The sequence below is a fragment of the Homo sapiens genome, chromosome X (assembly GCF_000001405.40).
Source record: "Homo sapiens chromosome X, GRCh38.p14 Primary Assembly".
NCBI lineage: Eukaryota > Metazoa > Chordata > Mammalia > Primates > Hominidae > Homo > Homo sapiens.
The window spans coordinates 22354479-22380290 of NC_000023.11; the positions used below are offsets into that span (position 1 = coordinate 22354479).

The window sequence follows — 25812 nt, forward strand, 5'->3', positions numbered from 1 at the left end:
AGTTTATGTCAGAAAGAGTTTCCCATGGGATTTTGAAGGCAAATAATATAAAAAATAGCATAAAAAATTTGAAAAACGTTACTTTGGAACACAAGAATATTGGTCAAAAACCATCAGCATTGCCCTTTTCTTTGAGGCCTTAAAATGGCAAAGTTACATTTTAAGTTTCCATCTGTTTTATTTCATTGAATCTTATAGTCAGAAGGGACATTGGAGGCCACAGATACCACAGGAATACCCTCTTCTGTTTCTGTGGGTTGGCGGCCTCTACTGAAATTTCCTGGGAAACTTATTGCATTACACTTGCACCAACCAATTGTTAGAAAGTTCTTAGATATTAAAAAGTTCAAAGTGAAATATTTCTGCTTATAAGTTCCACCTATTCATCTCAGTTCTGCCTTGGAGAAGCATTTCTAAGAAGCAGTTTGTTTAACCTGCACATCCTGCACATGTATCCTGGAACTTAAAATAAAATACAAATGACAAAAAGAAGCAGGTTCTTTAAAATCCTTCTCAGACCGAGGAAAGATGTATAACTCAAAAGTCTGATGTAGGTTTTGAGGACTGTAATCATGTGGATAATTATTCATACCATTTTCCCCTTTGGTTCTGAACCAACTGGAAATACCCATAGAGCTTAGATATCACGGCAAGATCAATGTTACTGTGGATAAAGCTGGGGCTTCCACCTGAAACCATCATCTGACTTCAACTACTTCCTTCTGAACCGGACTCTGTTACAGGGCAGAGCCATCATCTCTATGAGTTTATCTATCATGTCCTACCATGGTAGACAGAACTCCTCACAAGCTCTAAAAGAAAGAGCCAGCAAAGTCAGGTCTACACAAGCCCAAGTCTCCTCATCCTCATCTCTTCTATTGCAGGGGATGCAGCGCTGGAGGAAGGCACTGGGTATGGATGTTGAAGAGAGAAACCCAAAGAGTTCCTTCCATACTGGAAGAAGACAGGAAACTGGAAGTGTGTGGTTAGAAATTCTCATTCCCCCAAACACTTTAATCCTTCTGAACTTTTTTGTATTTCAAATATTTGAAGGCAATTATCATGTGCCCTGTAAATCATCTTTTTCACCTTTTAAAAAATTTAAAATCCCGGCCGGGTGCAGGGGCTCACGCCTATAATCCCAGCACTTTTGGAGGCCGAGGCGGGTGGATCACGAGGTCAGGAGTTCGAGACCAGCCTGGCGAAGATGGTAAAACCCCATATCTACTAAAAAAAATACAAAAAATTAGCCGGGCGCGGCAGCAGGCGCCTGTAATCCCAGCTACTCAGGAGGCCGAGGCAGGAGAATCACTTGAAGTTGGAGGGCAGAGGTTGCAGTGAGCTGAGATCACGCCACTACAATCCAACCCGGGCGAGAGAGTGAGACTCCGTCTCAAAAAGAAAAAAAAAAAAAGTAAAACCCCAAGATATCCAGACCCTTCGCCATGCTGGTTATTCTTATCTGGTCATGAATCACTTTATTATTCCTCTTAAGGTATGATGTTCCGAAGGGGTGTGGGGAGAGGCATTTCCTTTGTTTTCTTTATATTTTTATTTTCAGACAACTTTGGTAACTTTTGATCTTGTTTAATGAGTCTTTTCTTACCCAAACGACCTAAAGATAATCTCTCATATTTAAAAAAATATTTTAACGTATTACCTCTCATATTTAAAAACATATTTTAAGGTATTACCTCTCATATTTAAATCCTACATTATGTGGAGTCGATTTTTACATCAAGGAAGGAATCCAATTTTATTTTCTTCTGTATGGATAACCAGTTGTTTCAGCATATTTGCTGAAAGCCTCCAACCTTTCTCCTAATTTTTAGTGACCCTTTGGTCATGTTCCAAGTTTCCAGTTAGTTGTGAGTCTGTTTTTAGGCTCTCTGTTCTGTTACTAGGGTCAATTGGGCTATCCCTATGCCAAAACTATAATATTTTCATTGCTAAAATTTGTAAAGAGTTTTGATAACTCATATGAGTTCCTGTATCTTGTTTTTCTTCAGAAGTGTCTTGACTATTCTTGGTCTGTTATTCTTTGATATAAACGTTAGAATCAGCTTGTTAAACATCTTAAAAATTTGTTAGATTTTTTTACTAAAATTGCATTGAATCTACAGATGAATTTGGTGAGGAAAGACAGCCTCATGAAGTCATATTCTTCTTATCCATCAATATACTTCTCCATTTATTTAGCTCTTTGTTAATGTCTTCAGATAGTTTTATTTTATAATTTTCTCTATTAGGATCTAATGCAACTTGATATGTTTGGGCTGTGTCCCCATCCAAATCTCATCTTGAATTGTAACTCCCACAATTACCATGTGTTGTGGGAGGAACCTGGTGGGAGGAAATTGAATTATGGGGGTGGGCCTTTCCCGTGCTATCATTCTCGTGATAGTGAATGAGTCTCATGAGACCTGATCTCATGGTTTTAAAAACGGGAGTTTCCCTGCACAAGCTCTCTTGTCTGCTGCCATGTGAGACATGCCTTTCACCTTCTGCCATCATCATGAGGCCTCCCCAGCCATGTGGAACTGTAAGTCCATTAAACCTCTTTCTTTAGTAAGTTGCACAGTCTCGGGTATGTCTTTATCAGCAGCGTGAAAACAGACTAATACATAACTTCTGTTTGATTTATTCCTATGTTCCTCATATTCTTTTGTTGCTATTTTAAATGGTGTCTTGAAAATCTACATGTGTTGTTCATTACTAGTATATTGTAGTGTGGCTATAATCTTGCCAAAATCTCTTATTAAGGCAAATTATTTGCTTGTAGATGATTTTAGTTTTTCTATACAGACAATCAAAGTATCTATCAGGTTTATTTCTTCCTTTTGAGTTATGATATCTTTTATTTTTCTTGTCTAATTGTCTGACTAGGACATCCAGGACAATATTAAATTGAAATGGTGACAGTGAGCATTCTTGTTCCCACTCTCAAAGGGTATTCTTTTAACTTTCACAGTGTGGTGTTTGCTGTCAGGTTTCTTTGTCTTTCGTGCCACTTAGGAGCCCAGCACTTTCTGCCAGCTTCTTGTAGCTGGAATCTCTAGGTGGCCATTTCCATGACAGGTTGCTTTAACTTTTTCAGGCATGAGAAACTCACAAATCTTCTGTGTCTTCCAGTTACAGAAAGTCTATTTAAGCGCTTTGGGTGAAACCATGGAAGTTCCTCTGATTACACTTAAAGTAGGAAGGTAGCACCACCTCATCATCCAACAGCTTTTTCATATGAAATATCTTCACTGAATCTGGTCGCATTTCTCCATTTTGACTTCTCTTTATATCCTTGATCTGGCTGGGGCTAGATGAGTCATGAGAATGGTTCTTAAACATTCAGCCAGAGACTCAATCTTGTACTCACTTTGTTATCTGATATCCCTTTATTTGTATCTCAATTAAAAACAAGATGGGAAGAGACCAACTGTACACTGGTTACAGGTCTGTATTCAGCTTTATGAAGCCTAAAGTTCAGCAACAGTCATCTTGTTCCTGAAGAATATGAGTACTTTATTTATTTTATTTATTTATTTTTTGAGATAGTCTTTCTCTGTTGCCCAGGCTGGAGTGCAGTGGCGTGACCTCCTTGACTCACTGCAACCTCCGCCTCCTGGGTTCAAGCAATTCTCGTTTCTCAGCCTCCCAAGAAGCTGGATAGGCGAGCACCACCATGCCCGGCTAATTTTTGTATTTTTGGTAGAGAAGGAGTTTCACCACCTTGGCCAGGCTGGTCTCGAACTCCTGACCTCAAGTGATCCACTCACCTCGGCCTCCCAAAGTGCTGAGATTACAGGCATGAGCCACTGCGCCCAGCCAATATGAGTACTTTAGAAAGCTTTAACTTTCCTTACCCAATCCTGACTATCCTATTGTTACCCACTATTTTAATGACATCCTCTTTTCTAATGTCACAAATTAGAAACCAGTTTGGGTTTATATAGTGTTTGTCTACATTTACCCATAGTTTACCTAGTCTTGACTCGCCATTCTTTCTTGCATCTCAGACATGCCTTCTGTAATCATCTTCCTTCTTCATGAAGTGTGTCCTTTAGAATTTCTTTACTGAAGGTCCATTGCTTGCATACTCTCAGTGTGTTTGTCCTGAGGGACTGTTTCCCATGAACCAAATTAACTGCCTCTCAAGAATGCCATTGGTGGGAATAAAGGAGACCGATTTATCACCTGGTTTCCGCTTCCCATTGGTCTCAGTTTAACCCGCAAGGTGTTCTCTCTCTCACACGACTAGGTTGTGTCCAATGGGGTCACTGAGTGATGTTACCAGGGAAGCTCAGGAGGGAGACAAGAGGTGTAGTGCTCGGGTATGAAGTAAGGTGCTATCAAGTTGCTCCTACTATCAGGAGCACAGACTTCAAATTTCTTGAAATCTATGTAGAGCTGGTCACCATACTAGTAGCTTGTACAAGAATCGGGTACAGCTGAGAAGATATGAAGTGGTGCAAATTAAGTGGCCTATTCATTGTGTGTTTTGTGATTTTCTCCCTTCTCTTTCTCTTTTGGTGAGTAGTATTTGCAGAAAATGTGTCTGTGAGAATCCTTTGAAACCTGGATTTAATGTGCTTTCCTCCAGAAAGCAATTGTGTTTACTTCTGTGAGATTTCTAGACCTCTTAAAGTTAATCTCTATGATTTTTTTTTCAATTCTCAGAAGTTTTGTGATTTCTAGATCTAATTTTGCATGACTACAAGCTTGCAGCTAGACATTTTCAGGAGAGACCCTGCCACTTCTACGAACCAAGACGAAAGACTGAGAAAGCCAAATGTCCTTATCATAACTCTCTGTGAATTGAGGTTTTCCCCCCTTTTCACAGTGAGTGAGTACAGCTTCTAAAAGACTAGGCACTATAAAGAAATCTCCTCGATACACCTAATGTAAATGACGAGTTAATGGGTGCAGCACACCAACACGGCGCATGTATACATATGTAAAACCTGCACGTTGTACACATGTATCCTAGAACTTAAAATAAAAAAAAAAAAAGAAAGAAAGAAAAGAAATCTCTCCACCTTTTCTCTTTGCTTAGGCCCAATCATTGTCCCTTTAAAACCCAAAACAAAACTCTAGGGCAGCCAAGGATCTGCAGATAACCTCAGCTGCAGCTGAGCAGTAGCATTTTGTTATCTCCCTGGACTTACGCTTTTGTTTCCTTTTGGCCACTGAGGACTTCTTCCATTTTCTTGCTAACTCATCTATCTGTCCGTCTTTCTATCTGTTGCATTTTTATGTACATTCCAACCTTTTTAGGTATTCTGTACTGGGAGTATTTTTCCACAATATTATCTGTTCTGTTAAACCAATATCATAGTGCTACTGAATTCTAAGCTAACCATTAAGGAGTTAGTTATTTCTAGTTTATGTTGTCTGAAAATTGCTAAGGATGTTATTTATATCTATCGCTAGGGTCTTAGCATTTCTAGTGTTAAGCTTTCTTGGAAGCCTCCACCGCAATTCTATTTCTTAGAGTTCTTTTTTCCTTAAGGGTGAGGTTGGTACTGCCTCATTCCCTACATTCTGTCCTGTTTCTAAAAACAAGTAGATAGGCCCTCGTTATTTTAAAAGGAAACAGATAGGGGATATATCCTGGTTATCTTTGCCATATAAAAAATCAATCCAAAACTTTATGGCTTCAAAAAACAATCACTTTATGATTACATTTTATTTTATATTATTTATTGTTATCTTTTGCGGTTCTAAGGGGTTGGCTGAGTTGAGCTGGGCAGTTTTTCACACAGTTGTAGTGACTGGGGTTGGAGTCATCTCAAAGGTTTCTTCACTCACATGCTTCAGGTTGACGCTGGATGTCTGTTGAAACCTCAGCTGGGCTATGGTTAGAACACATGCCTGGAACAAGTGGTCTCTCTATTTAGCCTGGGCTTCCTCTCAGCCTTGTGGCTGGGTTCCAAGAGAGCGCATCCCAAGAAAGAGAGTGAGTTAGAAGCTGCATTGCCTTTTATGTTCTAGCCTTGGAAATTGTCACTTCTGCTGCATTTTATTTGTTAGAAGAGAATTACCAAGACTGGTAAAATTTGTCGGGAGGGGAATTAGGCTCCGTCTTTTTAAAGGAGGATCAAAGAACTCAGGGACAACCACCACAGATTTAAATGGCCAAACATAGGAAAGTATCACATGTTTACAAATTCTAACAAACATTTTTATTTCCATGGTCATTGCTCTTCAATTCCTGATCCTTGTTGGTGGAAATATAAATACGTATTTGCCTTTGCTTTTATTACTCACAAGGCTTTGCTCCCTAAATAATTTTTTTCAGAATCTTTATGTACATTCAGAATGTGAAGATATATTCAACCTACAATAATCTTTAACATTTCTTTAAAGGACTATTTGAATAATCTTTACCTGGTCTCTTGGCCTCTGGTTTTATCCCCCTCCTCTACACCGACATACTTCCAAGCAGTACATCTGATCATGTCGCTCCCATGACTAAAAATCGTGGGTGGCACTTCACTTCCAGCTCCTCAACATGGCACAAAAGGTCTTCCATGATTGGCTCCTTCTCCTCTTTTATGCCTCATCTCTCGTGTTTCATTTGCCCTTTACACTCTAGCAGGGCTAAATACCATGCGTTTTCACATCTCTGTGCCTTTAAATATGTTGATCCCCTCCCTAGAATACCTGTCCCTAACTTATCTTGCCTGGAAATCGCATGCATTCTTAAGGTGCATCCATAGCGATACAGCTGTTCGTGTATCGGTAGCAACTCATTTTTCGATGCACCTGCTAGACCTAAAAATCTTTTTTTTGGAAACCTCTGAGTTGAAATCTGCTCATATTCTCTACTTCTTCTTCTTCTTGGCAGGATGCAACAAATATTTAAACCTTTTCCTTCTGACATTAGAAGCAGCACTTATCAAAGTCCTGGGTAAGAGCTCAGCAATTTTTGAGATCCACCAAATCTTCAAAGGATACTGGTCAATTTCCTTCAAGAATGGTCTCACATCATTTTGACTTGGTGACAGTACCCACAGTCATAATCCATGTGGTCTCCAATTGTGAGAATATAGCTTTAAAGATCTATCTAAAATATCAACCAGAACCAAAACTTCCCTATAAAGACACGACTTAAAGAAACAAGTAACTCAGCAATATAAAAGAAATGCAGCATTGTAAAAAAGTAAATAGCATTATAGAAGTAATATAGCATATAAAATTTTTAAAGCATGAAAACTGGAGAGAAGAAAATTATTAAAATGGCAATTGTTGATATACCATAATTTCAATTTTCCTATTGTTGGACATATAAATATTTCCTATTTTTCTTTATAAACAATATAGAAAAAAACCTTCATGGCTTTTAATTGTTTTCACTGAACTAGCTCTGTATCTATTTATGGGGAAGATACCACACAGGGTGTGTTAATAAAATAAATATTTGGCTTTCTTTGTTACTACTTCTTTTGAGACATTTGGGAAATACTCAGACTCTGGTCCCAGAAATTAAGTGAACATGCTCACTGAGGCACTTTTCATATTATCCCCTATCCCCAGACTTGCAAACGTTAATTTTTTAGGTCTCTTGGGAAGTGGTTCATTTAGAAGAAATCTTAGCCACCAATCTCAGCTAGCTGTTTCTTTTCCTAACGTGTTTTCCTTTCTTAATTCAGTATAATAGCTTGATATGAATTAGACAAATTCCTTGGTTTGAGGTATTCATGTCAGGTCATCTGCTTTACTGTCTCCTACAGAGATGGCAGTTTTGTTCCTTCTATTGGTCATTAAACCACTTTACTAAAGAAGATGCTATGACATTAGAAGGATCAGGATTTATAGACCAGGGGAATGATTTTATAAATGGTATCTGTCCATCTGCTATACAGAATGTTCATATCCTTACAAAACATGTTTTCCTGTACTCAGGTCTTCATTTACTGTTATTTTCTGCCCGCCTACTAATGTACGCATTTTGGATTTCTATCGTAGCTAAATATGCCTGTCTTTTTCTCTTCAGTACAAAACAACTTGTTCAAATCCAGAGGCCAACAGCTTCCACATAGTGTTAGAAAAAGAGTTTGCCCAACCGAAGAGCTATAAGCTATCTATTTATTTATTTGAGACGGAGTCTCACTCTGTCGCCCGGCTGGAATGCAGTGACGCGATCTCTGCTCACTGCAACCTCCGCCTCCCGGGTTCCAGTGATTCTCCTGCCTCAGCCTCCCGAGTAGCTGGGATTAGAGGCGCAGGCAACCACGCCCAGCTAATTTTTGTATTTTTAGTAGAGACAGCGTTTCACCATGTTGGCCGGGATGGTCTCTATCTCTTGACCTCGTGATCCACCCACCTCGGCCTCCCAAAGTGCTAGAATTATAGGCGTGAGCCACCGTGCTCGGCCTATAAGCTATTTATTGTGCTATGGCAAACTAGTTTAACAATTCTGGGTCTCAATGTTCTCATCACTAAGACAGAAGTTTGGAATAGATAATCTTAATGTTCAGTCCTGGTAGGGCATGCAGTTCACCCTTATCAAAGAGACAACTGATGACCAACCTCCCACAGACCTAGGACATGAACCTAAGGTGCTTGACTTCAGGTCCAGGGTTTCAAGTCTCATTTCTAATACTTCATTCTCACAAAAATGAGTGACTTTAAGTCGTGTTATTTAAAGGGGGTAGTAGAGGAGAGATGAGGATGATGAGGTGAGTGGTGGAGAAGAACTTTCTGGGTAGAGAGATTATCATGAAGAAATACCTAAATGCAGGACAGATGTTGGCTTATTTGATGAACTAACAGAGAGTCAGCATGACTGGAGTGTAGAGACTGAGAAGGATAGAGTAAGAGACGAGGGTGGAGAGGTGGCCAGGGGCCATGTCATATATGACCTTTTGGTAATGTTAATGAGTTTGGATTCTTTTCAAAGTGGAATGAGAAGCCACTAAAAGGTTCCAAGAAGAAAAGTGTCATGATCTGGTATTTGCTTCACCTAAGCTTCATCAGGGCTTTATGTCCAATATTTAATCTCCAATAGATGCCACACTGTCTGGTACATAGTAGGCCCTCAACACATTTGAGGACTAAATAAGTAAATAGAAGAATAAAACAATCAATGTAGCTGTAATGTGAAGAATAAGTCAGAAGCATGGGAGGGGTGCTATTAGGGAGATATTACAGTATTCCAGCCAGATGGGTCTTAGTCTGTGGTGGAAACATTAACAAAGGAAGGAAGTAGATATATTTCAGAAGTATCCTGTACAGAGAACCATCAGAACTTGGTCAGAGGATGGAAGGTATTGAGGATGACTTCTAGTTTTCTAGCTTGAAAAATTTGGTAGCTAGAAGTAGCATTTCTTGAAATGAGGACGGAAGGGGGAGCAGATTTGAGAAAAGACCAGGGCTTGAGTTTGAGCATGATGCAGTTGGGATACCTAGGAGAAGATAGCCAAGTGGAAATATCAAGTTATCAATTAGATGCATCAGGTTGGAGGTTAGAAAGGAGATTCCGGTTAGAGATGTAAATTTGGGCACTGTCCGCAAATAAACATTTTTAAAATAGCTATAGGCAAGTGCTTGGAAAAGAGAAGCAGAACACAGGCCTCAAGAATTCAACATTTAGAGTTTTGGTAGAGAAGAAAGGCCCAGCAAAGGAGGTAGAAGAACTATGTCCAATAAATGAGGGGGCAAAGTCAGAAAAGCAAGGCATCCTGGAAGCAATCAAGACCATTTCAGGAAGGAGGAGAAGCGGTTAACAGTGTAGAATTCTCCAGAGGGGAATACATGACAATAATCTGCATTAAGATTATATGTATTAGATTGAATCCTGTTAAACTGCTGTTTTTGTATTAAAAAGTGGTCAAATATTGGCAACTTTGTATGGGTCAACATAATACACAGTTTGCTTGAAAAGTATATATTTCAGGGGGCCATCTCTTCCATTAAGTGAGGAACACCTGTAATCACAATTGTAATGTCTTCTCTCCAACATCTCTCTGTCTATTTTGTTTTTGCCTACCTTCTTTTGGTAAATGTTTATTTACTTGGCTTTTGTTCTAAAGACTGGGGAAGCCATCGAAACATTTTAAGCAGAGAGTGACAAGATCTGAATAGGTTTTGTTTCATTTGACTGTAAACTAGTGAACCCATTTCTGTTTTCACCCACAGCCCTTTGCCTAGTGTGTAGTTCATAGCAGGAATTTGATATTTTTTATAGGCCAAAGAGGTTCTTTCCTCAATGTGCAGCACAAGCCCAGTCTGAAAGTATTTTCTCTAATATTTTAAAATATTATCGACATTTAACCTTCACCATATAAATTATATGACATCTTCAGCTTACCTATCATTGTTCTTATTATCTAAACCATGACTTTTGCCATTTGAGTATAGAAGTGTCCTGAGTTACAGAGTCAAGGCTGGTTTCACTATGATGTCAACACAGACATTGGACGAGGAGTTCAGAATCCTGGCATCTGTTCGCTGCATCATGAGCAAGTTCACATTACCTCTGGAAGCTTCAATTTCTTTACTTTTTTGGTTTTCATTCTTTTAAAAATAACTAGATTGAACTGAACGATTTCTTTTGGTTTTCTTTTAGCTCTAACATTTTATGCTTCTATTAATGATTTAACATTCAGATAGAATATTAGTTTCTTTGTTTTGGAGTTTTTTGCTCAGCCTAAAGAAAGCCCAGTGGCTAGTCAGTGTTCCTGGGCTGGCTTCATTCTCCCTAGACCCCCTCCTAGTGGCTTGGTTCCCCTGAAAGACTCCTTTGTTGCCTTCTCAGAGTGTCCAGCCAAGATAGATCATGATGCATCCCATTGATGTTTTGTCTTATAGAAGTTCTAAACTAGCTACCTTCTGACCAGGACCTGAGGCCAATGTCAACATGCTTTGTTTATCCCATCAAGTAGTTTTTAATGTGAACCAATGCTATAAAATTGGGAGATTTCACACAAAAATTTAGATTTTTAGTTTCTTTAAAAACTCAAGATCTTTGGCCACATGGGGTTGGCATTCTTTTAGGGCAAAAACTGGCTGGGTCTGAGTAGCAGTGGCCCCCCTTTTGGACTGGAAGTTCACTCTCTGGTTCATGACTCACCATTCTGTGCTGCTTTTTGTGCCCTGCACTTCTCCCACATTGACTCACTTTCCCAGTCATTGTAGATATTTGGATTTGATCCACACAGGATGACCCAAGTTGGAAAGGCACCTCAATGACGAAACATCAGTGCAATATGAACCCTGTCCAGGTATGCAGCTCAGTTTCTCATCTCTTTTTGCTGAGACCTCCAAGAGTCACGTACCATTGGTCAAAGTATTATCTAAAAATAGTAAGCAAATTAAGGGAACAGGACTTCGCTGTGTTTAGTCATGGTTTTCACAAATGCCTCAGATCAGTGTTTCTCAGCCCTGGCTATGTGCTGGAGTCATGTGAGGAAGTTTGAAAAAAAAAATACTCATGTTTGGCCGGGCGCGGTGGCTCACGCCTGTAATCCCAGCACCTTGGGAAGCCGAGGTGGGCAGATCATGAGGTCAAGAGATCGAGACCATCCTGGCCAACATGGTGAAACCCCGTCTCTACTAAAAATACAAAAAACTCAGCCGGGCGTGGTGGCGGGCGCCTGTAGTCCCAGCTATTTGGGAGGATGAGGCGGGAGAATGGCGTAAACCCGGGAGGCAGAGCTTGCAGTGAGCCAAGATTGCGCCACTGCACTCTAGCCTAGCAATAGAGTGAGACTCCGTTAAAAAAAAAAAAATGTGTATATATATATATGTTTAAGTTTTACCCCAGAACAACTAGATCAGAATCTCTGGGGGAGAGGCCCAAGCATGAGTATTTTTTTTTTTTTAATCAGATGTTCTAATGTGCAGCCAGGGTTGAGAAACACCACTATAGAAGCTCCAAATCCACAAGTACTGACATCATCAGCCTAGAGAAATCCTCAAAAAGTCTGGGGAGTTATTTGTGGCTGGTTTTGCAGCCTTTATGGTGTCAGTAGAAACTGTACCTAAGAATAGCCTCCTCCTCACAAACTGGAATGCCCATCTGGCTGGGGTTTCCATCACACCTGGCAGTGCTGGAGAGATGCACTTCCAGCATGGGCCATTTAACCAGCACTACCTCCTTTCATTTATGTGAAAAATGTAGGGTGGAGTAGGGGTGGGAAAAAGGCCTAAATCTAGTGTTGACAGGTGAAAAAGAGAAGGGGGAGATGGAGGGCTGGTGACTTACAATCCAAATGGCATTTCATCTATTATGAAAAAAAAAAATGGTTTCAAGATCTTAGCTTTTAAGATGATTGAGGAAAGAGTGAAAAATAAACTGGTGGTAAGACAGACAAAAATATAAGTTAAGAAGAAGTTGCTTCTATTTGAAGTGTTTGTTTTCTTCCAAGTGTCCCCATTTGGGTTACTTTGATCTAGAACATCTGAAAAATGACTTCCCTCTTGGAGTGTTGTTAAAAATTTAAAAGACCAGGGAAAAATCCAAAGTAATGCCAAATTAATCATTGTTTCCAAAGTTTCCATAGATAAATTATTTCTCCAAACGACCCAGAATAATAGGGTGAGAAGAAGGGCTTTAAACAAGAGTGATTCAATGACATTTTCCTCGTGTGCCTTCCCTGTAACATCAGAACAATAGGCTTTGAATCCAAGCCTAATATGGAATTGAAAAATTGCAGACTTAGGGTTTATGATGAATACAACCCAGCTGGAGCATTCAATGAACAATGGCAGGAGGGTTTGGTGAAGCCAATCTGGCCCGCTGTGGTTCTGCCACAAGGGAACGATGGGTTTTAAAGGACACAACCTAATTTCTCTCTGCAGCTGGGTGTCATTGACTAATGAAAATATATTGGCACACTGCTCATGGGTTATTGTTCCATGTAACTGCACCTCTTAGCTGGGGATTTGTAAGCAGGCCATGATTGAAAGCAATATGACTGTGCTTGGTTATTAAAATATTCCAAATACAGCCTGCCCTATTTATTGGAAACAAAGTTTGACAAGATTATGTTGATATGAGGAGCAGATAATGAAACATCTCCGTGCACAGGCACTGCCAATGTCAACTGGGCAGAATTACAGTCCTTAAATATTTATATAGGAAAATGAAATACAACTATTAATACTTCCAGGAAGTGATACAGTGTGAGAGGAGAAATAGACATGAGGAATAGGATTCTGGGCTACTTCTAACAGGCCAATTTATCATTTTTATAAAATGGCTGCATGTCTCATTTGTGGAAACTCTTCAAAGAATGAGAAAAAGCATAAACACCTCTAAAACCTCTAAAAATGAGGCATGTTTAAACAAATGTGTTACAAAACCTGATGACTAAATTAATGTGTTAGAAAGGCTTCATTTTTGTAAGGGCAACTTCTTCTAGGATAATTTAAGCTCTAGCCTATTTATTTATTTAGTAATTTGAAAGCACACTTTATTAACTTGGATAATGTAATTCTGTTTTCTTTTGCTTTGTATTGTCTTTGGGAGAAATGTCTAAAAGCAAAAAAGGTAAATGTCCAGACAGGCATTATTCACCTTAAAAAGCACATAAAACAATAGAAAAGGCAGTAGTCTAAGAATCAGAGGATCTGAGTTTTAATCCGATGTTTGCCTCTAGCCTGAATTGTAGAAAAGTTGCTTTCACATTTCATGCCTAATTTCCACACTTACTTGTCATATTTACCGTCTGTATTTTGGCATTTGACAATATCTTTATTTTTCTGTAAATATTTTAGGAATGCATGTCTCATATTCAGCAAATTTATGCATTTTCATTATCTGATTTCTTATGGTTTCCATCCATTTAAACACGGAGGGTTATGAACAGCCACAACTTTCCTGGTTCTGGGGCCTTTGGGTCCCCCGCCCTCCAGTTTTCCCTTTCTCTGACTTTTGCCCTTTCCTCACTCTGTCACTCATTCTAAAGTGACATGCTTTCTGCCCCTCATCCTTTCTCGATCCCCTTCTTTTGTCCCTTAGTCTCCTCACTCTTTGCCCTTTAGCAGCCTCCTCTCTGAGGTGGGCAGCCCAGGGGTGCTTTTTGCAGGCTTGACATCTCTCTCCTGCCCTTGATGGAGCAAAGTCAATTATACTTTGCTTAAAATGCTGTTTTAAAGGCAAAATGAAAACCACTCAACTAAAATTTAAAAGTCTTCAAAAGGCTGTTAAAATCATCACATTCAATATAAAATGGCCTGAGCTATACAGTCCTCTTAGAAATACATTTTTAAATAAACCAATAAGTTTAGCTAATTGGCAAACTGCTCATTTGCTGAATCAATTTTAAATGAATTGCACTAGAGCCAAAACTGGTCTTATTTTTGCTCTTCTCTTTCCTTCTTTCCGTCCTCCAACCACCTCCTCTTTTTTTTTCCCACCATCTTCAGTCAATGTTCAATTTGCTGATGATGACTTCGGTATTGAACTGAATAAAGCAGTTGGCAGGAATGTGTAGAAGATAGAAAAAAGGAACACGGCTTGATTGCAGCAGTTTCCAGACTATGTCCCAAGTAGCATTTCCCAAAGCCTCTTCCAGAGTTTGATTCAAGAGCAGAATTTGATTCAGGAGCATTCTGGGGTTGCGAGGAGAGGTCTTAAAATATGTTACCACTTGGAATTACTTTTCTGAGTGAATAAGGATTTTCTCATTACTGTGTAATAAAAAATGAAGAAAAATTGGATGTTGAAACTGATGTGTTGACATCCATAGCCACCAATTTCAAAAATTTCCAGAAATAATGCAGCTTTCATTAGTTATATATATTGAGGTTACATAAGATTGGATTCAGGGGAAAATGGTTTCATTGTTAATAAATGCTTAAGAACCACTGACAGTATAAAGAAGAGAACTGTGGACTTGGAAAATGAAGACCGTTTCATATCCATAAACTACTAGTAACTAGCTAGGTGACCCTGAGTAAATCATTTAAAAGTTTTGGGCTTCAGTTTACATGTATGACACAAGAGAGAACTGTGTTAGCATCCTTTTTAGAAAACAAATAAAAATAACGTATATGAGTAATATGGTTTGGATTTGTGTCCCTGCCCAAATCTCATGTCAAATTGTAATCCCCAATGTTGGAGGATGGGCCTGGTGAGAGGTGATTGGATCATGGGGGCAGATTTCCCCCTTGCTGTTCTGGTGATAGTGAGTTCTCATGAGACCTGGTTGTTTAAAAGTGTGTAGCACTTCCCACTTCGCTCTCTTCCTTCTTCAACCATGTAAAACATGCCTGCTTCTCCTTCGCTTTCCACAATGTTTGTAAGTTTCCCGATGCCTCCTCAGCCATGCTTCCTGTACAGCATGCAGAACTGTGAGCCAATTAAACCTCTTTTCTTTATAAATTACCCAGACTCAGGTATTTCTTTAGAGCCATAGAGCCATGTGAGAACAGACTAATACAATGAGGACTGAGAATCCCAGGAGATATATGAATGTTTAAAAAGAAGCTGGTTGGTGCAAAGAAATGTCTAGTAGGTGACAAACGTGGAGGAATGATCTTTGTCTCACATTAATCTCATCTCATTTGTCTAATCTCATCTCAGCTATGTAACACTCACTTGCTCTTTCTTTACCTTAGCAAGTGGTCCTACTTACCAGGTTGCTCAGAAAAATATAAAGGCCAATATGAGCCAGTATAGAGAATTCATGAATACCCAAGGGTACCACTGTAAGGACTATTCTATTCCTACTTATGAGGACCTTGAAGTTGACCTGCACTAGATGCTGAACATACATGATGAGATTGTCTCATATCCCACTTTTGCCAATACCACTCTTCTACAGCATGTACTTTCTTCCGTAAAATTCAGATTCCTCAAAAGAGTTATTGCCTGAGGAATCCTGAAAACAAAATAATAGCCTTGTAAGCGTTCAGGTACTTCCTCAGCCTGCCTTCCTTGCTCGCTAGGCAGCCTTGATTCAAATTCCTGTCTTATACAAATTATAAGTTACTAAGTATCCTGGATGTGCAGAAGCATTCTAGCAGTGTCAGAGCCTTAGATACTAAATCCTAGGTGGCTGAAGGTCTTTTGGGCAGTATGAAAGGCTCAGACTCTAAATTTAAATACCTGAATCTGAAAGGTGGCTCTGCACTTACTACCTAGGTATCCTTGGGCAAGCTAGTAAACTTCAGGTTCATCCACTATAAAGTGGGAATAAGAAAAAACTTCTAGGTTTAATATCATGTTCTAGTTAAATCACTAAAATCAATCGGCTGAACAGCTGATTTGTTGAATAACAGCATTTTTCAAGTGACCTATTAGCCTCATTTATGAAATTCATCAATTTGTCAAAAACTTGCTTCCTCATTATCTCTCAGACACACTGCATTTAATATTGAATGGGATGGTTCTAACAGCTTTAGAAGATTTCTGTGAAGTTTTACTTGACTAGTTTTCATCCTGTCTTTATAGCAGCATTTTTAAGGAATATTCAATTTGTTACAACTAAGATTGGTAGGGTGCTTTAATATTTGTACAAACACATTTAGTAACCAGAAAATGTATTTTTCTATTATACAACATTTTAGAAGTTCTACAACATTTTAGAAGTTCATGTGGGATTTTTTTTAGTTTATGTAGAATTCCTTTGGATCTTCTGGAGTGTCATTTTCTGTTTTACTCTGCTTTTACCATTTTTAGGATTTTTTTCATCACAGTCTCAAGTAGGAAATCAACTTCTATTTGGCCATTTGGAGAGCCAGATACTTGGCAAATCTATTTTCAACACATTGTGCTGCTTCTATTAAGTTCAACACATATTTCTTGAGTGCCTATAATGTGCCATCTTTGGTTCTGATCATAGTAAGAGGACTAGACAGACAGGGCCCTGTTTGTTCATTTCCCATTCCAGTGGAAGAGATCAGCAATACATAAAAGGTGATAACCCCTATGAAGAAAATAGAACTGGGTGTCAGAATAGACAGTGCTATAGTACTGGGGCAGCAGACTGCTATCTTAGATAAGGTGGTTAGACAAAGCTTCTGGAGGTGAAGACACTGAGCTCAGGAGATGGCCTTTGTTGGGAGGGGTAGTTCTAAGCCATGGGGCAGAAAAATATTGCTGGGGTGAGACAAGAACCAAAAGCAGTGGCCAAAGACAATATTCATTAGCTTTGCTATTGTGGTTGAGGGTTGCCTAGCCTAAATGTATTTCTTTTCATTGTGGTATGTTTGGTTTATGTGTGATCATTCATATAAAGACTGGATGTTTATGTGCTATTTTTCCCTCTTCTGCTATATAAATATTAAGTATTGGCTATATTCAGAAACACAGCAGCGCCATGGGAAGATATATATATATATATATATATATATATACAAAACAATCAATCAAGTTGGACATTTTTGGCAAAACGTTTCCAGAGTACACTTTCATTGATATAGTTTTAAAATGCTGTAGCAGCATTTTAGTGCCTGATTAATGGGTTTATTTACTCCAAAGCCTGCTTGAAACTATAATGTCTTTGAAAAAAATATTGAAAAGATGCTTCAGAAAAGCTCATCAGCATTATTTCATTTACCATACTTTCTTGTGCTAATCTTCACTCTAACAAAAATATCAGTGGATACTAATTCTATAGTGGTTTATGTAGGTAAAAGCCTTTTATTTCAGTACAAAATATATATGCATTGCCTACAGAGTAAAACGAAAAATAAGATATGAAAAACACATTGTAGAGCCATTTTGAGAACACGGATGGGGTATAACTGGGAATCATGTCTGCTCCTTACAGAGTGTGTAACTTGGCATCCAAGTAAATCACAACAAGAAGGTTGAAGAGCCACTTGGGAATCTATCAGATAAAGCAATGTATCATACAGAGGGTCAGTGAAGTATTGGTGCTGTTTGAGAGTCTATGAGGGGTTTGAACAGCACCACCCTGTAAGCTTTATTTCAGGGGACTGGAGACCTGCCTGTGCATCTGTGTTACCTGGGAAGATTTCTGGGCCTTATCTCAGACCTGTAAGTAACAATCTTGAGAGTAGGGCCAATAAAAAAAAATAAAGAAATGCTTTCCAGGTGATTGTGATGCATGCACAGGGAGCAGGTTTATTTTCAGAAACCATCTTTGTATGTTAAGAGACAAAACCAAATCCAGAAAAGAGAATTCTAGAATAGCTTGCAAGTTGTGTTTCCATAGAAGGATGATGGGGTCACCTGAGTTGGCAATGGAGATGGCAGTGGTAAGAGGGAGGCCAAACAGACAGGGCTTTGAAGCCCTGGCCCTACTTCACAAAGCAAATTCATTTTTATCTGTTTTAATGTTTTTATTTCATGTTGAAATATTCCGGTCTTGTACTTAGTAGCATTAAAGTAATATGCACCCAGACATGTTGTGTGGAGGACAGATGATAGCAGAGAAGCTGTAGGATATTGTAAAGCAGGGCCTGACACAGGGAGAGATCTCAGGCTGGATTTGTTTTAATTCTGTGCAAACAAACGGTTTGTGGGCCCTCATTTCCACATCAACATTTTCCTCCTTGTTGTCCAAAGCTCTGATCTCTGCTGGAAGGGCCTGATAATTAAACTAAGCTCTTGACAGGAGAGTTGTCCGTGGTTGGGTCCAAAAAAGTTATTGGGATATAGGCACCATGCCATTCTTGCTAGGCATCCATGAGTGATGTAGAGGCTGCTGTTAACAGGAGGTCCTTGCTGCTTGGTGACAAGCAGGCTAATTATTATAGCTCCTTGCTGCACGGATGAAGTGTGGGACTCACCAGCACCTGGCTGGATAGTTTTGGGAACTGGCTTAGCTTCCTTATGCCTCCCTGGTTCTGGCAATTGCTGGCTCTCACTTGAGCAAAGACCATGGTGTTTCTCGAGTGCTGACTCAGCTCCTCTCTTTGTGGTTACTTCATTTAGTCCTCTCATCTCTTCTCCCAACAGCCTCTCTTCTGGGTAATGTTTCTCTTTATTTCCCCCCCCTCTGCTTGGGAAGCCCTTGTCCGGACCTGTGATGAATGGTCTGCCCTTTCCTCCATTCTCCTTTGATTAAGGCATAAACTTTATGTCTTGTTCCTTCAAGGTTTGGCCTTTTGGATTCCAAAATTCCTAACTCTTGTTTATCAAACATCTTGGACTTCAAGTGGCCATGGTATATTTTCATTGGGGGTGAGTGAGGAATGGTAATTATGTAAACAAGAAAGGAGTTTCTAAATAACATATTGGTTAATTTCTCAAAATATTACCCTATTGTTGTGATAGGGGTCCAATATTTAAGACAGAAGAAATGTGCTGAAAATGCAGTAAATACCATTTTTTAAATCCAGTAATAAAATTACAGAAACAAAAGAGTGTGCCCTATTGTGGAGGAATTTGAAATGAAGAGTCATTTCATGAACAAAACTTTGGATGGGTTGAAGGGTAAGGCCAGAGTCATCATGGCAGGTTCGGGTGTCAAACTAATAAGGAAGGCCACATATGAAAAAAACAGTTCCATGTTTACTCAAGAACAGGAAAGAACTATTACTAATGTATCAACTATGTGTATATAGACAAATGTATTCATAATATGTATATACAACAGGTAGACAATATAATGGCTTTTCACAGACATTAGCCAGTGGCTACAGTAGGAGGAGAGAGAAACAAATCTATTTTATTGTCTTGTCTCTTTGTGGATAAATTTCCTTCCACAGGATATTTGTTATTTAAGTAAAGCCCTGCAATGAACAGAGCTATTAGCCTAAGAAATGTTGTGAGTAATTTGCCAAGGACTAAACTTATGAGTCTATGCCAGGCAATTCTTGTCAATAGCTTGTCTGAGAGAAACAGTATCTGCAGAAGCATTGTCTGAAGGACATGGAATCCATTCATTTCTCTCAGAAATTCTCAATGAAGCTGTGATGGTCGTTTGGGATATTAGACATCTTTATTGTGTAAGGTGTAAGGAAGGGGTCCAGTTTCAGTTTTCTGCATATGGGCACAGGGAAGGGAACGTCACACACCAGGGCCTGTCAGGGGGTTGGGGGAAAGGGGAGGGACAACATTAGGAGAAATACCTAATGTAGATGATGGGTTGATGGGCGCAGCAAACCACCATGGCACATGTATACCTATGTAGCAAACCTACACATTCTGCACATGTATCCCAGAACTTAAAGTATAATAAAAAAAAATAAGTACATGAAAAAACAAACAAACAAACAAAACCAACAAAAAAAGAAATCTTTATTGTGTGGGACTATCCTATGCATTTTAGTATCTTTAAAATTCCCAGAACTTTCCCACTAAACACCAGTGATGCTCACCTCGCATCACTGTGACGAGTAACAATTTCCCTCCTACAGTTCCAAAGCCAAAGCACCCCTGCTTAGGTACCACTGCTAGACAACATAAAATATATTAACTGATAAACCAGAGAACTGAGTACTTGAATCAATTATATAGGCAACCCAATAGACTCCTAGCTGGTATTATACTTTCTGAGTCACAACTCAGCCGGGCGTGGTGGCTCATGCCTGTAATCCCAGCACTTTGGGAGGCCGAGGTGGTGGATCATGAGGTCAAGAGATCGAGACCATCTTGGCCAACATGGTGAAACCCCATCTCTACTAAAAATACAAAAATTAGCCAGGCATGGTGGCGCGCGCCTGTGGTCCCAGCTACTCGGGAGGTTAAGGCAGGAGAATCGCTTGAATCCTGGAGGCAGAGGTTGCAGTGAGCCAAGATTGTGCCACTGCACTCCAGCTTGGTGACAGAGCAAGACTCCGTCTCAAAATAATAATAATAATAATAATAATAATAATAATAATAATAAATGTACAAAACTATAGCTAGTGATAGGTGGTCTTGGTAGTCTTGCTTGTGCCCTCGCTCTCTTTGATGATCATCTTGGCCTTCTTCAGTTCATGAAACTTTTTATGGGCATTTAAATAATTTTAATTACCAATTTTGAACTTTTCTATAATTGAGGAATGAATGGCTTACCCTCCTTAAGAGAGTTTCCATCCTAAGTAAATAGTGTGGGGATGCGACTGGGAAAGAGAGTTATATTTAAGAGCAGAAGGCCTTTGTGTGTGTGTGTGTGTGTGTGTGTGTGTGTGTGTGTGAGAGAGAGAGAGAGAGAACGAAAGAGAGAGAGAGAGAGTTTCACTCTTGTTGCCCAGGCTGGAGTGCAATCGTGTGATCTCGGCTCACTGCATCCTCAGCCTCCCGGGTTCAAGCAAAGCGGTTCTTCTGCCTCAGCCTCCCAGGTAGCTGGGATCACAGGCACACGTCATCACGCCCAGCTAATTTTTTGTATTTTTAGTAGAGACAGAGTTTCACCATGCTGGCCAGGCTGGTCGCAAGCTCCTGACCTCAGGTGATCCACCTGCCTCGGCCTCCCAAAGTGTTGAGATTACAGGCGTGAACCACCGTGCCTGGCCTTTTTTTCTTTTTGAGACGGAGTCTCACTTTGTCACCCAGACTAGAGTGCAGTGGCGCGATCTCAGCTCACTGCAACCTTCGCCTCCTGGGTTCAAGTGATTCTCCTGCCTCAGCCTCCTGAGTAAGTGAGATTACAGGCGCGTGCCACCACACTTGGCTAATTTTTTGTATTTTTAGTAAAGACGGCCTTTTGCCATGTTGGTTAGGCTGGTCTTGAATTCCTTACCTCAAGTGGTCCACCCGCCTCGGCCTCCCAAAGTGCTGGGATTACAGGCACGAGCCACCGCGCCCAGCCCAGAAGGCCTTTTCGGCATCCCTGAAATATAACCTGAGCACCGCTGTCTGCTCAGGGCCTGAAGTTGGAAGTGGTTACCTTTATCCCTTGTTTATCTGGATGTCATTACGATTTTTTTTTCAAGTGCAGTGAAGAATTAAAGATCTTGTCCACCAAACAAACAAATAATAAATAAATAAACTTTCTCAGTCATAACTCTAAGAAACTTTTCACTATGTTTACCATAAAGATACTTTTGTCAGCACAATTAAACTGACCTTTCTGAGACAGAATTGGGAGATACTTTGTACCCTGGTCTCAGTAGCAGTGGTGCTTTTCCTGAGTAACTAGTTTACTTTTCCCCATATAGATTTCGCATAGTTTGAAAGTGTCCACTTTCCTATGGGCATTTGGAAACCTGAGAGCCTAAAGTGTTGATCCACCTCTGGCATGAACACTATTGTGTTCCAACCTTACTTCTGGTTCCCTATTAGTTTACTGACATTATTTGTCCTTTGACTCACATTTTTCATATTTTAATGGGCTTTTATTTTGCTATGTTACAGGGATTTTGTAAACGGCTTGAAGTTCTTTATGAATCAAGGTAAGATAACAATGTGTGCACATATTCACATATATTCATAGAGTTCTTGGACTGTGAAATTTGGGGGATGTAAATGTAAGCGTATTTGTGACAGCCAAGTAATTTTACTTTCTCTACAGTAACAACAGTTGGAAATGAAAGTAAAACTTTATAGAAGAAGAGCTAAATTAGAGAATTTAATTATTATAACAGCACAATTGTTTAATTTGCTAATTGTGGTTTCTTGGTACATAATCCGCATACATTAAAGAGTATAACTCGATGCTTAGCAGGGAGCTTATCGATTACTTTGCCTCCTCTAATTATCTAAATTTTAGCAGACTCCCAGACTTAAGGGGATAAATCAGATAATTTATATTATGGTATGTGTGTGCTAATAATATTAGTTTCTTGTTTTTACAAATTATTATTTGTATGTAAAACGAAGTGTTGAACTGATTATTTTCAGACACTTATAGTCCTAAAATTCTCAACGGCTAAAAAGATAGACTAAATTTCCCCTGGAGGTGTTTGTAAACAGCATTTCTATCTAAAAGGTTAGTACATTTGTGGGAAGAAGTAACTGGGTGGAGAGATGGAAAAAAATATTCCTCTTATTCAAAGACCCTCTGACCACAGGAAGTTTTACTAATTTAATCACTACTGGCATGGACCATGGAACAGATGAATAAAGTTCAAAATATAAGTTCAGGCAACAATACAAGATGCCTGTGTACTTAAATTACATGTTCTTGAAGGTCAGAATACTTTTATTTACAAATATCTCCATATCTTAAGTAGGAAAATGTTTAATATTGATCTGAAAATATAATGGCTGAGACACTTAATATTTAGGTCACTGAAAAATAAAAATAACTCAAACCCCAAACTTCCTTTACAGTTCAGGAAACTAGATGCTCGAAAACAGAGGAAAGAGAAACAGAAAATATTTGAGCTAAAATTCAGATAAATCCCTGACTTGAAGCTGTTTGAGTGTGCGTGCGTGTGCATGTGTACCTGTGTACGCATGTGCGTCCACACGTGTGCCTCAATATGTTTTCTCTTATTGTCTCTCCTACTGACATTGAAACAGTGCCTTTGATTTGGACAGAAAGAACATGGTTGAAAAATACAGCTTTGAAAATCCAAATTACAAGGTATGGGCTGTTATTAGGATGTTAGATTAGACAGTGGCAGCGGGACAAGGCAAACAGGTCACAGTGAAGTTCAGAAATAAAAAGATACGCTGCCAAGAGACAACTCATTGAGCTGCTAGCCTTGTTTTCTCCCCCATAATAAAATGATTTTTGAGAGACTGCTCAGCCAGAAAGGTAAACCATTCTCACAATTTAAAAGTGCCAGTCATCTGTAAAGCCAGAAGCCAAGACAGAAGGATATTTATGAAGAAGAATAGGATTGCCACTTAAAAGTCAAAAGAAGATAAGAGAAACAAAATGGAGCCTCTATAGCCAAGTTAATTATTTAGGGGCTTGAGTTCAGCTTCTAGATTTTCCCTCTCCTGAAGCTTTTCTCTCTTCCTTCCTTTGGCCTGCCTTTTAACCATTAAACAGCCCATTTGAATGAGCCTGGGGAAAGGAAAAGGGGAACTATACTAAGTCTGTCTTACAACAGTGGTTCACCCAAAGCAATGCAATTCAAAGGCAGAGCAAATAATCAAGTTTTACTTTTTATCTTTGTATTTCATTTTTTTTTCAAAACCAGATAACGATCATTTAATGATTTGTCAATCTGGAATGCAACTGTGGCACGTGGGTGTGCAGGCGTGGGCAGGGAGCTAGTGTGAGAAGTCAGCAAAACTTAAATTGACCTATTTTCTCAGAAATAGGGACAGCTGGTAAAGCAGAACCTATCAATGTGGGCTGATACACAAATTGCTCAGTTGGACAAATGTATTTGTAGATGTGGACATCACGATGAAGGACTAGATGAATCATTCTGCCCATGTCACTTACCCTAAAAAAAACTTTTGGCATGCTATGTTAATTTTAAAATAATAATAATCACTTTAAAAGTAACCTTTTTCAACTTTAGAGCAGTGTTAGATTTACAGGACTATTGCAAACACAGTACAGAGAGTTCCCGTATGCCCCATATCCAGTTTCACCTATTATTAACATCTTTAGCATGGTACATTTGTCATCATTAGTAAACCAATACTGATACATGATTATTAACTGAAGTTCATACATTATTCAGATTTCCTCAAATCTTCCCTAATGTCTGCTTTCTGTTCCAGGATCCCTTCTAGGATGCCACATTACATTTAATAGAAGTGTCTCCTTAGGCACCTCTAGGTTGTGAAAGTTTCTCCAACTTTCCTTTTTTTTTTTTTTTTTTTTTTTTTTTAACTATCTTGACAGTTTTGAGGATTACTGGTCAGGTATTTTGTAGAATGTCCCTCAGTTGGGATTTGTCTGCTGTTTTCTCATGATTAAACTGGGGTTATGGGTTTGTGGAAGGAAGACACAGAAGTAAAAGGTTATTCTCAACACATTATCACATAAATACAGGCTATCGATACGACTTTCCACTGTCAATATTAATGATCATCTGACTGGTATGTTTGTCAAGTTTCTCCACTGTCAACTTACTCTTTTTTTTCCCCCGCCTCCCTTTCCATATTATACTCTTTGGAAGAAAGTTACTATGTGTATGTAACATACACTAAAGGAGTGAGGAGTGAGGAGCTGTGCTCCACCTCCTTAAGGGCAGAGTATCTCTGTAAATTATTTGGAACTCTTCTACTTGGAAGATGTGTTTATTATGCCCCATTTATTTAATTATTTAATCACTTATATCAGTTTGGATTCATGGATATTTATATTATAACTTGGGTTGGGTTATAATCCAATACTACTTTATTGCTCAAATTGTTCCAGCTCTTTTAATTGGCTCCTGTACCCCCTTGTCATACCTCCATCATTATCTGTTGTTTTCTTTTGCATTTTCTACTTTCTGGAACTATGACATGCTCCAGGCTCATCTTAATGTGGTAGATTACACTGATTGATTTTTTATATTGAACCACCCTTGCATACCTGGAATAAATCCCACTTGATTATAGTATATCGTTCTTATTTAACATTATTGGATCTGCTAATATCTTGTTGAAGATTTTTGTATGTATGTCAGTAGTTAACTAATTTTATTTTGTTTTATTTATTTTTTGAGACAGTCTTGCTCTGTTGCCCAGTCTGGAATGCAGTGGTGCGATCTCAGACCACTGCAACCTCTGCTTCCTGGGTTCAAATAATTCTCCTGCCTCAGTCTCCCAAGTAACTAAGATTACAGGCAGGTGCCACCACATCTGGTTAATGGGATTTCAGCATGTTGGCCAGGCTGGTCTCAAACTCCTGACCTCACGTGATTCACCCGCCTCAGCCTCCCAAAGTGCTAGGATTACAGGCGCCAGCCACCGCATCCAGCTGCCTAATTTTATTCTAATTAATTTAAGAACTTTTTTCAGCTTTGAGGTGTAATCAACAAATAAAAATTTCATATATTCAAGGCGTACAATGTCATGTTTTCACACACATATACGTTGTGAAAACATTATCACAATCAGGCTAATTAACATGT

The 25812-nt window shown here is 39.1% G+C and overlaps 1 long non-coding RNA gene across 1 annotated transcript in view, besides 1 other annotated feature; it reads right to left on the reverse strand.

Moving 5' to 3' along the window:
* Positions 1 to 25812, reverse strand: part of PTCHD1-AS (PTCHD1 and PHEX antisense RNA) — a 1100142-nt gene that overhangs the window by 161474 nt on the left and 912856 nt on the right. The window lies entirely within an intron of this gene.
* Positions 10546 to 11745: an enhancer, noted in NCBI's record as "CDK7 strongly-dependent group 2 enhancer chrX:22383141-22384340 (GRCh37/hg19 assembly coordinates)". NCBI's record gives its function as "activates an origin of replication core promoter dependent on BRD2, BRD4, P300/CBP, MED14 and CDK7 cofactors, with strong dependence on CDK7, by STARR-seq in HCT116 cells {active_cell/tissue: HCT116}" and the evidence as "EXISTENCE:reporter gene assay evidence [ECO:0000049][PMID:35650434]".